The sequence below is a fragment of the Homo sapiens genome, chromosome X, assembly GCF_000001405.40.
Source record: "Homo sapiens chromosome X, GRCh38.p14 Primary Assembly".
In the NCBI taxonomy this organism is placed as follows: domain Eukaryota; kingdom Metazoa; phylum Chordata; class Mammalia; order Primates; family Hominidae; genus Homo; species Homo sapiens.
The window spans coordinates 70899530-70914632 of record NC_000023.11 but is presented as its reverse complement, the minus strand read 5'-3'; the positions used below and the strand labels follow the sequence as shown (position 1 = coordinate 70914632).

At 41.2% G+C, this 15103-nt stretch overlaps 1 protein-coding gene across 4 annotated transcripts in view; it reads left to right on the top strand.

The window, feature by feature from the left end:
• Positions 5922-15103, top strand: part of TEX11 (testis expressed 11) — a 397485-nt gene continuing 388303 nt past the window's right edge. For all 4 annotated transcript variants that reach the window (XM_017029649.1, XM_011530994.2, NM_031276.3 and 1 more), the window contains exons 1-2: positions 5922-5979; positions 6823-6880. In XM_017029649.1, coding sequence (XP_016885138.1) covers positions 6844-6880 — 37 coding nt within the window. In that variant the 5' untranslated portion in view covers positions 5922-5979; positions 6823-6843. The remainder of the gene's footprint in view (positions 5980-6822; positions 6881-15103) is intronic.

The window sequence follows — 15103 nt, the reverse complement described above, 5'->3', positions numbered from 1 at the left end:
CGATTTTACATAAATACGTACCTTTTCTGAAAACATTTTTCTTCTAAAATCTCAACAGTAGAATGTAGACATGTCCCTAGTTTTATAACTATGAAATTGTTATAAATTGTTGTCCAGGCTAGTCAACACTGAATTAAAAAGTGTTGACTGGTCTCAAGTGGCCCTCTTATCTCCGTCTCCCAAAGTGCTGGGGTTATAGATGTGAGGCATTAAGCCCGGTTGTTTCTGCAACCATTCTTTTTTTTTTTTTTTTTTGAGGGGGCACCCAGATTTGAACCATCACAACAGTTTTACTTTTTCTTCCTCTTTCTTTCTTTTTTTTTTTTTTTTGAGATGGAGTCTCTCTTTGTCGCCCAGGCTGGAGTGCGTGTCACGATCTTGGCTCCCTGCAACCTCCACCTCTCAGGTTCAAGCGATTCTCCTGCCTTAGCCTCCCTCGTAGCTGGGAATACAGGGACCCACCACCATGCCCAGCTAATTTTTTTATTTTTAGTAGAGACAGGGTTTCACCATGTTGGCCAGGCTGGTCTGGAGCTCCTGACCCCAGGTGATTCACCTGCCTCGGCCTCCCAAAGTGCTGGGATTACAGGCATGAGCCACTGTGCCCGGCCCATCACAACAGTTTTTAAAGGTTGTATATGTATTCCAAACCATAATATATGTTCCATATACAACTAACGTAGTTGTATAACTTCACCAGTAGTCTGCTGGTGAACATTTATGTGGTTTACAATGCTTCAGTGAATGTTTCCGTTAATCTGTCTTTGCAAATTTTTCCAATTTCTTCTTTTGGAAAAATCCTAAAAGGGTAATTGTTGGGTGACAGGGTACACACATTTAAGATTTTGATATATATTGCCAAACTGCCTTTCTTCCAGAAAGTTGCATTAATTTAATTTGTATTCCTACTTACAGTGCCCAAGAGTGCCTGTTTTGTATATTTTGACAAATTTAAGGTTTTCTTAATCTTTTTAACTTTTGCCAATCAGATAGATGAAAATTTTACCTTGCTTTAATTTGAATTTCTACGATTACTAGTGAGGTTGAGTATCTTTTTTATTTTATTTTTTTAAATTTTTTAATTAATTAATTAATTAATATTTGAGCCAGGGGTCACTCTGTCGCCCAGGCTGGAGTGCAATGGTGTGTTCTCTGCTCACTGCAACCTCCACCTCCTGGGCTCAAGCAATCCTCTCACCTCAAACTCCAGAGTAGTTGGGACTACAAGTGTGCATCACCAGGCCTGGCTAATTTTGCATAGAGACGAAGTCTCACAACATTCCCCAGGCTGGTCTCAAGCTCCTGGACTCAAGCAATCCTCCCACCTCGGCCTGCCAAAGTGCTGGGATTACAGGCATGCGCCTTCTTGCCCAACCGAGTATCTTTTTATGTGTTTGTTGGTTGTACTCTTCCTGTGTAATTTGTCTGATCATGTCCTATGAGCTTTTATTTACTAGAGTATTTGTCTTTTTCTTTTTAATTTGAAGAGCTCTTTTTATGTTAGAGATGTTAAGTCTTTATCTGTTACATATGTTGAAAAAATCTTTTTTTAGTCTGTGGTTTGTCTTTCAACCTTGCTTATAGTGCCACTCAGAAGAGTTATTTTTTATGCAGTAAAACTTACTGTTTTCCCTTTTTGATTTGGGTTTCCAGATCATATTTAGATCTTGCCAACTAGGTAAAATTAAAAAAAAAAAACTACTACGTCTTAGTATATTAATAAAGCTATAAGATATTCACACCTATTTTTAATAGAAATTTTATGATTGGATTTAATTTTTGATTAATGTAGAATTTATTTTGGTATATGAAATGAGAGGTAAGGATCTAGTTTTTTTTTTTAACAAATGGCTCTAAAGTCATTTCAACACTTTTTCTTGAATAATTCTTTGCCCCACTGATTTCAATAATTTCTATGTATATTTGGGTCTGTTTCTGGACTCTATTCTGTTCATTTATCTGTCTGCACTATTACCACACAATTTTATTTGCAATAGTTTTAATATCTGGAAGAACAAGCTCCTCTTCCTCCCTCCATTAATGATTTTGTTTTTAGAATTTTCCTGACTGTAATTGCATGTTTATTCTGGAAGTCTTTCTCTTCTTTTAACAGGGCGTAATGCTACTTTATTAACTAATTTGTGTTCTTGGTTGCTAACTGTCTTTTAATCCACTCTATTGATGAGAGTTTTAATAGGCTCTCATTAGAGTCCAAGCTGTTCAACCATCTTATGTACCATGTATTTCACCATTTCTGTAACATTTTGTTAAAGGGTAGGACAGAAAACTTATAGCTTATGTTAGGAGGGTAAAGGAAGATAATCCACAGCATGTTGAGTGCTACTTAATGGCATTTTACTGCTCACTCTTGCTTATCCACCTCAATATGTACCTGCTTCTTTTATCTGCTCTCCTTTTCTCTCTCTTTTACTTTTTTCTTCTGTTTCTTTTAATTTTCATTTACTTGTAACATCTAGGAAGGCCATCTGGATAAAAACAAACAAAAAAAAATTTGAAGATATCCATGTATTATCAGGGTTTTCACCCTTTCCGTACATTTTCCTTTATTCACTGGCCCTTTCAGTGCACTGGCGTCAGCTCAGTAGCCCTAACTTTGGAGTCATATTTACAACTGGTATTCATCAATAGAATCATGTGATTCCTATATGCCTTATATAATGCTGAATAGTATAATATCCATTCTACCGCAGACGTTATTAATCATTAAGAACTCTAAGATGCATGTGAAAGGGCTGCTTGTAGTCTTGAGAGCTGAGTTCTAATTATCACCTTACTTGTTCATCTGTTCATCCATGAACAAAGAAGCTATGGTGGAACCAGGGGTTTAGGTGGGATAATGGAAGTAGGAAGTTTGTCAACCAGGAAATGGGAAATGATAATGGGAACTAACATTTGTTAAGTGACTACTACTATATGCCAGCCACCCATTGTTCTAGATGCTTTATGTGCATTATTCTATTGAACCAGAAGCCTAGAATTACTTTTATTCCCATTGTACATATGAGGAAATTGAGGTGCTAAGATTGTTTTAATATATACGTATTTTTTTAAATAGAGGCTGGGCACGGTGGCTCACACCTGTAATCCCAGCACTTTGGGAGGCTGAGGCGGATGGATCACCTGAGGTCAGGAGTTCGAAACCAGCCTGACTAACATGGTGAAACCCCATCTCTACTAAAAATACCATAATTGTCTGGGCTTTGTGGCGGGTGCCTGTAATCCCAGCTACTTAGGAGGCTGAGGCAGGATAATCTCTTGAACCCAGGAGGCAGAGGTTGCAGTGAGCTGAGATCGCACCATTGCACTCCAGCCTGGGTGACAGAGCGAGACTCCATTTCAAAAAATAAATAAATAAATAAAATTAGAGATGTGGTCTCATTGTTTTGCCCAGGCTGGTCTCAAACTCCTGGGCTGAAGTGATCCTCCCACCCTGGCCTCCCAAAGTGCTGGGATTACAGGTGTGAGCCACTGCACTAAGCCTCTTTTTAAATTTTAATTATTATTATTATCTTTTTTTGTATGGAGACAAGGTCTCACTATGTTGCCCAGGCTGGTCTTGAACTCCTGGGCTCAAGGATTCCTTCTGCCTCAGCTTCCCAAAGTGTTGGGATTACAGGTGTGAATCACCATGCCCAATTTAGATGCTAAGATTCTTAAAGCTGGCTCAAGGCCACACAGTATATGGTGCATGGAGAGTCAGTCAACTGTGGCATACTCCACTGCTCCTTTTCACCAGAATTCTTTCCCTAATATGGCAATCGAGGGTTATGAAATAAAGACATACCAAACTGCAGGATGCAAAAGAAGAGGAATTAATAGCAGTACTTTCTGTTTTCCCATTTTTCTTCATTGTACTATGCAATCTAGATACAATTTTGAAGAGGGAAAATAAATTACTTTTAGTAACCTCATCTTGTCCACGAGATCTAATGACTGATTCTGAGACTTTCAGGATCAGGAAGGAACTCTGTTAATGTTCCCAGAAACTGGAGCCACAATCTCTCTTCTTTATCCTGTTAGCCAGCTCCATATCTGGCCTGAGGTGCACAAGGCTTAAAAGAGGGGTATATAGGAAGAAGTGGGAGGCTTATTAATGTTTTGATTCTGTGTTTGTCTACAAATCTGGAGGCATCATGTTTTCACACTGTTATCTCTGAGTGGAGATTAGCATCATGCTTAGATTTAGCTGGAATCAAATTTTTACTTACATATTCCACCCCTCAAGCCATTTGGTTTGGAGATGGGTGGGACATGCGAGCTTGCTGTGAGACTGCAGGGGAGTCTCCTAGTTTCCTAATGATTGGACAAAGGCAGGGCAACAGAAACGTCTTGGAACTAAAAGGCTTTTTTTATTTTTATTTTTTATTTTTATTTATTTTATTTTCATTTTTTTTGAGACGGAGTTTCGCTCTTGTTGCCCAGGCTGAAGTGCAATGGTGCCATCTTGGCTCACCGCAACCTCCGCCTCCCAGGTTCAAGAGATTCTCCTGCCTCAGCCTCCCGAGTAGCTGGTTACAGACATGTGTCACCACGCCTGGCTAATTTTGTAATTTTTTAGTAGAGACGGAGTTTCTTCATGTTGGGCAGGCCGGTCTCCAACTCCCGACCTCAGGTGATCCGCCTGCGTCAGCCTCCCAAAGTGCTGGGATTACAGGCGTGAGCCACCGCGCTGGGCCTGTTTATTTATTTATTTTTTGAGACGGAGTTTCGCTCTTGTTGCCCAGGCTGGAGTGCAATGGCGCGATCTCGGCTCACCGCAACCTCTGCCTCCCGGGTTCAAGCGATTCTCCTGCCTCAGCCTCCCGAGTAGCTGGTTACAGGCATGCGCCAGCACATCCAGCCAATTTTGTATTTTTTTTTTTAGTAGAGACGGGGTTTTGCCATGTCGGTCAGGCCGGTCTCCAACTCCCGACCTCAGGTGATCTACCCGCCTCGGCCTCCGAAAGTGTTGGGATTACAGGCGTGAGCCACCGTGCTCGGCCTATTTATTTATTTATTTTTTGAGACGGAGTTTTGCTCTTGTTGCCCAGGCTGGAGTGCAATGTCTCGGCTCACCACAACCTCTGCCTCCCGGGTTCAAGCGATTCTCCCTCCTGCCTCAACCTCCCAAGTAGCTGGCATTATAGGCATGCACCACCACGCCCAGCTAATTTTGTGTTTTTAGTAGAGACGGGGTTTCTCCATGTTTGTCAGGCTGGTCTGGAGCACCCGATCTCAGGTGATCCGCCTGCCTTGGCCTCCCAAAGTGTTGGGATTACAGGCGTGAGCCACTGCCCCCGACTTATTTTTTATTTTTAAGAGACATGATCTCGCTGTCTCCCAGGCTGGAGTGCAGTGGTGGGATCATGGCTTATTGGACCTAAACTCTCAGGCTCAAATGATCCTTCCACCTCAGCCTCCCAAGTAGCTGGAACTACAGGCGTGTGCCACCACACCTGGATTTTTTTTTTTTTTTTTTGGTTCAGGTGCAGTCTGGCTTGTTGATCAGGCTGGCCTCGACTAGTCTCCTCAGCTTCTAATATTTCTGCTATTTCTGACCTTTGCCACTCTTGCATAACCAGTGATCAACAATGTCTACTTGCTTTATTTCTTTTTCTGTTCTTTTTTTTGTGTGTGTGAAGTCCTGCTCTCCTTTTGGTAATCCTGGCCATCTGCACTTTTCCCTCAATTCATTGTCTTATGCTTTCAGAATTACATCATATTTGCTTACTCTCAGTTATTCTCACCCTGAACTCACCAAGTGACTGACTCTCTGAACTGCATCCCCAGGATCTAAGGTCTAGACTGGGTCGCAAGGCTTAGGCTCCGTGACACAGCGTAAAGGCCAAGTGGGAGTGGCTTTAGTGGCCTAGCGTGACACCGCTAGCGTCGCTAGGGGGCGGAGTTTTCTGAACGTCCTCGTGCGCTGTGGACGGAGGTTGTGGAGAGAGCAGGGCGGCATTGGTGGCTGCGGCTGAGGTGAGTGGTTTAGTGGGCAGGAAGGGGTAGAATAGGCTTCAAGCACAAGTTAGTTGGGTAGTTTATAACTAGCAAGAATATATTATAGCCATTAGGCCAAAACTTTTTAGAGCGGCCCTAAGGCAGTGACTTTGTACTACAGAACTGCTCGTCGCTCTCAAGGCGAACGAAGATGGGCAAATGTAATGTTTTTGGACGAGGATTGAGGAGTATGGGGAGCGGTGGTGGGCCACTGAAAACCGGAGATAGTAGTTACTGTAGTTTAGATGCTAAAGGACCTAAATTACGTTGAAGCGGGACTGTTGATGACCGTTGGGGGCAATGTAATGTTTTTTGATGAGGATGGAGGAGTATGGGGAGTTGTGGTGGGCCACTGAAAACCGGAGATAGTAGTTATTGTTGTTTAGATGCTGAAGGACCTAAATTACGTTGAAGCAGGACTGTTCATGACCGTTGGGGGCAGGATACTGAAGGTGCTAGCGTTCTCACAGAGCGGGAAAAAGGACCGTGAGTGATTGGATGCTTTGAATGTGCGGTTGGTAGCGGAAGCGGATTTTGAGCCAATTAGGAAGAAGCAGCGAGACCCAGCCAGACCAATAACAGGGTACCACTCAGCTCCATTTCCCCCGTTGCCAGGCAGACTTATGGTAAGAAAAGGTCCCTTTTATGTAACTTGGCAGCCTGGCCCTGCCCCTCACAAAAGCCCTTTCATGGGCTTTTAACTTTACTCAGCCTTTTTTTCTCCCTTTGGATAACAAGTAACGGGAAACATTTCACTGGAAAGAAATTTGTTGAGAAACTAGAGGATAAAACAGAGTATTAAAATATGTTATTATTTCACAGGCTTGAGCCAGAGATTTAAAAATGGACAATGATGATTTTTTTTCCATGGACTTTAAAGGTACGTAGCTCTACGTGGTAGTACAAAATAGTGTCAAACTGCTGCTTTAAGATCTAAATATTGCTGGGCGCGGTGGCTCACGCCTGTAATCTCAGCACTTTGGGAGGCCGAGGCGGGCGGATCACGAGGTCAGGGGCTCGAGACCAGCCTGACCAACATGGTGAAACCGCGTCTCTACTAAACATACAAAAATTAGTTGGGCGTGGTAATCCCAGCTACTCAGGAGGCTGAGGCAAGAGAATCGCTTGAACCTGGGAGGCAGAGTTTGCAGTGAGCAGAGACTGCGCCACTGCGCTCCAGCCTGGGCGACAGAGTGAGACTCCGTCTCAAAAAAAAAAAAAAAAATCTAAATATTTTGTTTCTGAGTTTTGTCTTTCTGCAGTGTCCATAGCACCAGGTTTTCTCATTTATGTACCAGAAACAATGTCTATTTTTAACACATTGGGAACCTTTTTATGAACTAGTGTAGGGAGACAGAATTCACAATTCATAACTTGTTTTTTTTTCAGGATTTTTATGGCATGCAAAATAAAACGTTTAATCTGGAAGATAAATCTATTGCAATAAAAATAAGTTTAAAAAATTACTGCAAGATCTTGGAGTTCCTTTCCATAATCATCCGTGAAAAATAAATTATATCCTGTGTAGTTTTAGACTTAAGTACATTTTATTGTGTCTTAATTCTTTTGAAAATTGGTAATCCATGTTTGCTATTTATGGGAACTCTCAATAAACAAAAGCAATTTGACTGACCAGAACACCAGATTCCTCAACTGTGCTAGATATAGGAGAGTTTGTGGTACTATCTTTGTTTTTGGGGAATAATGAGACCTGTGGTACCTTCACATTCATATAATAATGAAATATGTGGTAAGAAATGTGGCTACAAATCTATGATTTTAAAAAGTTTAGGTCAACATTTTGTTAATACTTTTTTTTGTTTGCTTGTTTTGTTTGTTTGTTTGTTGAGACAGTTTTGCTCTTGTTGCCCAGGCTGGAGTGCAGTGGTGCCATCTTGGCTCACTGCAACCTCTGCCTCCTGAGTTCAAGCGATTCTTCTGCCTCAGCCTCCCAAGTAGCTGGGACTACAGGCCCGCGCCACCATGCCTGGCTAATTTTTTGCATTTAGTAGAGACAGGGTTTCACCATGTCGGTCAAGCTGGTCTCGAACTCCTGACTTCAGTTGATACACCTGCCTCGGCCTCCCAAAGTGCTGGGATTACAGGTGTGAGCCACCATGCCAGGCCAATATTTGTTATTTTAAAACAATAACAATAAAGCCTGCTACTATCTACTTTAAGTTTTAAATTAGGATAAAATATCTTAAAGGTATAAAGATGGAATAGGGATTATGACTCTTAAGTTGATAATATTTGAGACTTTGTATTTACATAAATATTTGAATCACACAGAAAAGTATAGAAAATAATATAATGAACATCTGTGTACCTACCACTGAGTTTTGTCAAATCTTAAGCTTGCCATATGCTTCAGATATTTCAAAGAACTAAAAGATTACATGTACCATTTTTCTTTTTAAATTTTATATAAATAGTTATTTTATATTTCTTTTTCCTGCAGCTTGTCTTCTTTTTTCCTTTTTTTGCTCAGCATTGTGATATATATATATATATATATATATATATATATATATATATATATTTTTTTTTTTTTTTTTTTTTTTTTTTTTTTTTTTTTTGAGACAGAGTTTTGCTCTTGTTGCCCAAGCTGGAGTGCAATGGTGTGACCTCGGCTCACTGCAACCTCTGCCTTCCAGGTTCAAGCGATTCTCCTGCCTCAGCCTCTCGAGTAGCTGGGATTACAGGCACGTGCCACCATGCCCGGCTAATTTTTTGTATTTTTAGTAGAAACGGGGTTTCACCATGTTGGCCAGGCTGGTCTCAAACTCCTGACCTCAGGTGATCTGCCTGCCTCAGCCTCCCAAAGTCTTAGGATTACAGGCGTGAGTCACTGTGCCAGGCTGTGTTTTTAATATTTACCCATATGAATACTTTTAGTTCATTTATTTCCACTGCTGATGAGTAGTATTTCATTGAACCTAAATGTACCACAATTTATTCATTCAGTCTCCTTTGTTGGACATAAAAATGGTTTCAAATATTTGCTGTTAAAAACAACAATGCTACAACGAACACTGTGTTTCTGAGAGTTTAACAGAAACTTTCAAAAACATCTTTGACTACCACTCATGGCAAGAAAATGTTTTGATTACATCCCAGTACATACATACTGTGTCAAAAGTTTAATAAAACAAAATTTTATCCTCATTACATGCAGTACACTATGATATTTTCTATTCTATTTTTCTCATTAAAAAAATGCTGGGTATTCAGCAAAGGTCTGACTGAAAAGAAATGCTGGGTATGACTCACTACCTCAATACATTGACTGATTTTTTTTTTCTTTTGAGACAGAGTCTCACTCTGTCGTCCAGGCTGGAGTGTAGTGGCACGATCTCGGCTCACTGCAACTTCCACGCCTCCCGGGTTCAAGCAATTCTTCCGACTCAGCCTCCCGCGTAGCTGGGGCTACAGGTGCATGCCGCCACGCCTGGCTAATTTTTTGTAGTTTAGTAGAGATGGGGTTTCGCTGTGTTGCCCAGGCTGGTCTGGAACTCCTGAGCTCAGGCAATCTGCCCGCCTCGGCCTCCCAAAGTGCTAGGATTACAGGTGAGAGCCACTGCTCCTGGCCTTGAGCCACTGCACCCGGCCTTGATTTATTTCTTGAGCTACTGGTAGGTGAGGCTCTAGGGCAGTGCCGTCCAACTGACATGGTGCAAAAACAAAAAATTTTATATTTTCTAGTAGTCATATTAAAAATGTTTAAACAGATGAAAATAATTTTAATGATCTAATTTTTTTAACTCAGTGTATCAAAAATGTTATTATAACATAATCAATATACAAATTATTAATAAGTTATTTTACATTCTACATTTTTTGGTACAAAGTCTTTGAAGTCTGGCATGTATTTTATACTTAAAGCACATCTCATTTTGGATCAGCCACATTTCAAGTGCTCAATAGTCACATGTGGCTAGTGGCTACCATATTGGACAGTGCAGTTCTAGAGTTTACATTTGGGAGTGTAACTGCTGAGTCAAAAGCTATGAGCATCTTTAACTTTATAGATATTGCCAAATTGCTGTCCAAAATGGTCTTAATTCAAACTCCCTTTTCCCCATATCCTTACTAATATTTGATATTGTCAGACTTTTAAAATTTTACAATTTTGAAGACTGTTGTCATTTTTATTTACCATTTTACTTTGGAATAATTTTAGATTTACAGAAAAGTTGCAGAGATAGTGCAGAGAGTTCCCATATACTCTTCAGGCAGTTTCATTTTCCCAAATGTTATCATCTTACATGGGTGTTGTTTTGACTTATATTTTCCTGATAACTAGTGAAGTTGGTGTACTTTCATAGATTTACTGGCTGTTTGAGTTTTCTCTTATGCACACATAAACTTTTTAGTCAAGTTTTATAAAAATGGAGCATAAAAGCCTATCCAATGGCTTTTAGCAATGGCTATAGTTCATTCCTTCTTAGGGAGAATTGACATAACACCAGTCTTTTTTGTATCACCAATCTCAATAAATTTTCAAGACCAAGGCCAGGCCTGGTGGCTCACGCCTGTAATCGCAGCACTTTGGGAGGCTGAGGCGGGAGGAATACTTGAGCCCATGAGTTTGAGACCAGCCTGGGCAACAGAGACCCTGTCTTCACCAAAAAAAAAAAAAAAAAAAAAAAAGCTGGATGTGGTGTTGCATGCCTGTAGTAGTCTCAGGAGCCAGAGGTGGGAGGATCGCTTGAGCCTAGGAGGTGGAGCCTGCAGTGAGCCTTGATTGCTCCAGCTTGGGTGACAGAGTGAGATCCTGTCTTAAAAAAAAAATTCAAGACCAGGAAGGAATAGAAATTTGTCTAGATAATTACACCCACTGGGGCTAAATAAATGTAACTCCTTTTCTGCATGTCATCTTCAACTATTTGAAGATAACTTATCTTGTACCCCGGAAAGTGTCTTCAGATTGAGCATTCTCAGTTTGTTCAAACATTCCTGATATTACCTGGTTTCTAGTCCCCTTATCATTTTGTGTGCTATCCTTTAAACATGCTCTATCCTTTTCGTGTTATTTCTTAAAGTGTGGTACCCAGAATAGAACACAATTCTCTATGTTTGATATGATCAGCATAAAATACAGTCATGTGCTGCATAATGACATTTCAGTCAATAAAGGACAGCATATACAACAGTGGTCCCAGAAGATTTTAATGGAGCTGAAAAGTTCCTATCCCCTAGTGATGTCAGAGCTGTTATAAAGTTGTAGAGCAATGCTTTATTCATGTGTTTGTGGTGATGCTGGTGTAAACAAATCTACTGTGCTGCCAGTTGTTTAAAACTATAGCACGTACATTTATGTACAGTACATAATACTTGATGGTGATAATAAATGACTATGCTACTGGTTTATGTATTCACTATACCATACTATGCTATCTTATACTATTTTTTTATCATCATCTTAGAGTGTACTCCTTCTATTTATAAAAAATAAAGTTAACTGTAAAATGGCCTCAGGCAGTTCCTTCAGGAGGTATTCCAGAAGGCACTATTATCGCAGTAGGTGACAGGTCCATGCATTTTATTGCCCCTGAAGAACTTCCAGTGGGACAAAACGTGGAGGTGGAAGACAGTGATAGTGATGATCCTGAGCCTGTGTAGGCCTAGGCTAATAATGTATGTGTTTGTGTCTTAGTTTTTAACAAAAAGTTTAAAAAGTAAAATTAATAATGTTAACAGAAAAAAGCTTATAGAATAGGGATATAAAGAAAGAAAATATTTTTGTACAGCTGTATAATGTTTGTGCTTTAAGCTAAGTGTTACTACAAAAGCGTTAAAAAGTTAAAAATAATTAAAAAGTTTGTACTTTGGGAGGTTGAGGCGGGCAGATCACTTGAGCTCAGGAGTTCGAGACTGGCCTGGGTATCATGGTGAAACCCTGTCTCTACCAAAAATACAAAAAATTATCATGGCATGGTGGCACGTGCCTGTGGTTCCAGCTACTCTGTGGTCCCAGCTACTCCATAGGTTGAGGTGGGAGGATTGCTTGAGCCTGGGAGGCAGAGGTTGCAGTGAGCCGAGATCGCACCACTGCATTGCAGCCCCAGTGACAGAGTGAGACCCCATCTCAAACAAACAAACAAACAAAGCTTATAAAGTAAAAAAGTTACAGTAAGCTAAGGTAAATTTATTATTGGAGAAAGAAACATATTCTTTTATAAACTGAGTGTAGCCTAAGTGTGCAGAGTTTATAAAGTCTACAGTAGTGTACAGTAATGTCCTAGACCTTCACATATATTCACCACTCACTCACTGACTCACCCAGAGCAACTTCCAGGTCTGCAAGCTCCACTCATGGTAAGTGCCCTATACAGGTGTACCTTTTTTTATCTTATAAAAATTTATTATTATGTTATTTGAGGTAGGGTCTCACTCTCTCACCCAGGCTGGTGTGCAGTGGTGTGATCGTGGCTCACCACAGCTTCTACCTCCTGGGCCCAAGTAATCCTCCCACCTCAACATCTTGAGTAGCCGGGAATCACAGGCATGCACCACCATGCCCAGATAATTTTTAATTTTTCTGTGGAGACGGGATCTCCCTATGTTGCCCAGGTTGGTTTCGAACTCCTGGGCTCAAGCGATCCTCCTTCCTCGGTGTCCCGAAGTGCTAGGATTACAGCTGTGAGCCACCGTACCCAGTCATTTTTAATCTTTTATATTTTTACTTACCTTTTCTAGGTTTAGATATGTTTAAATACACAAATACTTATCATTGTGTTACAGTTGCCTGCAGTATTCACTACAGTAACATGAGTTATAGGTTTGTAGCCTAGAAGCAATAGGCTATACCATATAGCCTAGATGTGTAGTAGGCTATACCATCTTGTGTAAGTACACTCTATGACGGGGTCCTCAACCCCTGGGCCACGGACCATTACCTGTCTCTGGCCTGTTAGGAACCTGGCTGCACAGCAGGAGATGAGCCCTGGGCCAGCAAGCATTACCGCCTGAGCTCCGCCTCCTGTCAGATCAGTGGCCAGTGGCATTAGATTCTCACAGGAGCCTGAACTGCCCACACGAGGGATCTAGGTTGCATGCTCCTTATGAAAATCTAACTAATGCCTGTTGATCTGAGGTAGAACAGTTTCATCCCGAAACCATCCCCCCACCATCCGTGGAAAAATTGTCTTCTACAAAACTGGTCCCTGGTGCCAAGAAGGTTGAGGACCACTGCTCTATGATGTTGGGACAATGACAAAAATCACCAAATTACACATTTCTGGAATGTATCCCTGTCCTTAAGTGATGCACGCCTGTAATCTTTCTCTTTAGATTTAGGACTGATGATTTTTCTCTTTAGATAATAATATAGCTAAGACTGAATTTGCTTTTTCTTTCTTTCATACCACGCTAGTTATTCATTTTGAACTTTTTGCCCCCCAAATCCCTCAGTCTTTTTTAAGTATTTATTTATTTATTTAGACAAGGTCTCACTCTATTGCCAGGCTGTAGTGCAGTGGCGCTATCCTCCTAGGTTCAAGCGATCCTCCCGCCTCAGTTTCCTGAGGGAATATAGGCATGCGCCACCATTCCTGACTAATTTTTGTATTTTTGGTAGAGACAGGGTTTCACCATGTTTCCCAGGCTGGTCTCCTGAGCTCCTGAGCTCAAGCGATCTGCCTGCCTACTGGCCTTTTTTCTAGATTTTTCTTTCTTTCTTTTTTTGAGGCAGAGTCTCACTCCATTGCCCAGGCTGGAGTGCAGTGGCATAATCTCAGCTCACTGCAACCTCCACCTCCCAGGCGCAAGCAATTCTTGTGCTTCAGCCTCCTGAGTAGCTATGACTGCAGGCATGCCAGGCTAATTTCTGTATTTTTAGTAGAGACAGGGTTTTGCTGTGATGGCCAGGCTGCTCTCGAACTCCTGGCCTCAAGTGATCCACCCACCTCAGCCTCCCAAACTGCTGGGATTATAGGCATGAGTCACCACTACTGGGCTTCACTGATCTTTTATATATATATATTTTCATTTTAATTTCGTTTATTTCTATTCTGGTCTTTATTATTTCTTTTCTTCAACTAACTTTGGGTTTGGTTTGCTTTTGCTTTTCTAGTTGTTTAAGATGCATCATTAGGTTGTTCGGAGTTTTTCCTCTTTTTTGATGTAGGCACTCATAGTGATAAACTTCACTCTGTATCCCATACGTTTTGGTATGCTGTGTTTCCATTATCATTTGTTTCAAGAAAATTTTCAATTTTCTTCTTCTTCTTCTTTTTTTTTTTTTTTTTTTGAGATAGAGTCTCCCTCTGTAGCCCAGGCTGGAGCGCAGTGGCACGATCTCTGTTCACTGTGACCCTGCAACCTCCGCCTCCCGGGTTCAAGCGATTCTCCTGCCTCAGCCTCCCAAGTAGCTGGGATTACAGGCACCCACCATCACACTTGGCTAATTTTTGTATTTTTATTTTAACTAATTAATTAATTAATTTTTTGTTTGTTTTGAGACAGAGCCTCACTCTGTTGCCCAGGCTGGAGTGCAGTTGCACCATCTCGGCTCATTGCAACCTCTGCCTCCCAAGTTTAAGTGATTCTCGTGCCTCAGCCTCCCAAGTAGCTGGGATTACAGGCGTGCACCACCACTCCTGGCTATTTTTAAAAAAATATTTTTAGTAGAGACCGGGTTTCACCATGTTGGCCAGGCTGTTCTGGCCAACATGGTGAAACTCCTGACCTCAGGTGAGCTGCCTGCCTCAGCCTCCCAAAATGCTGAGATTACAGGCATGAGCCACCACACCTGGTCCTTTTTTTTTTTTTTTTTTTTTTTTTAATACAGGACCTCTCTTTGTCACCCAGGCTGGAGTGCAGTGGCATGAACGTATAGGTATGCACCACCACGCCTGGCTAATATTTGTATGTTTTGTAAAGACTGGATTTTGCCATGTTGCCCAGGCTGGTCTTGAACTCCTGAGCTCAAGTGATCTGCTTGCCTCGGCCTCCAGATTACAGGAGGTGCTGGGATTACAGGTGTGAGCCACGGTGCCCAGCCTCTATATTTTCTTTTTCTATTATATTTATGATGATTGTTAGGGAGGTAGACATTAGCTAATTTGTTTCATCAAGTCTTCAGAATATAGTTCCAATG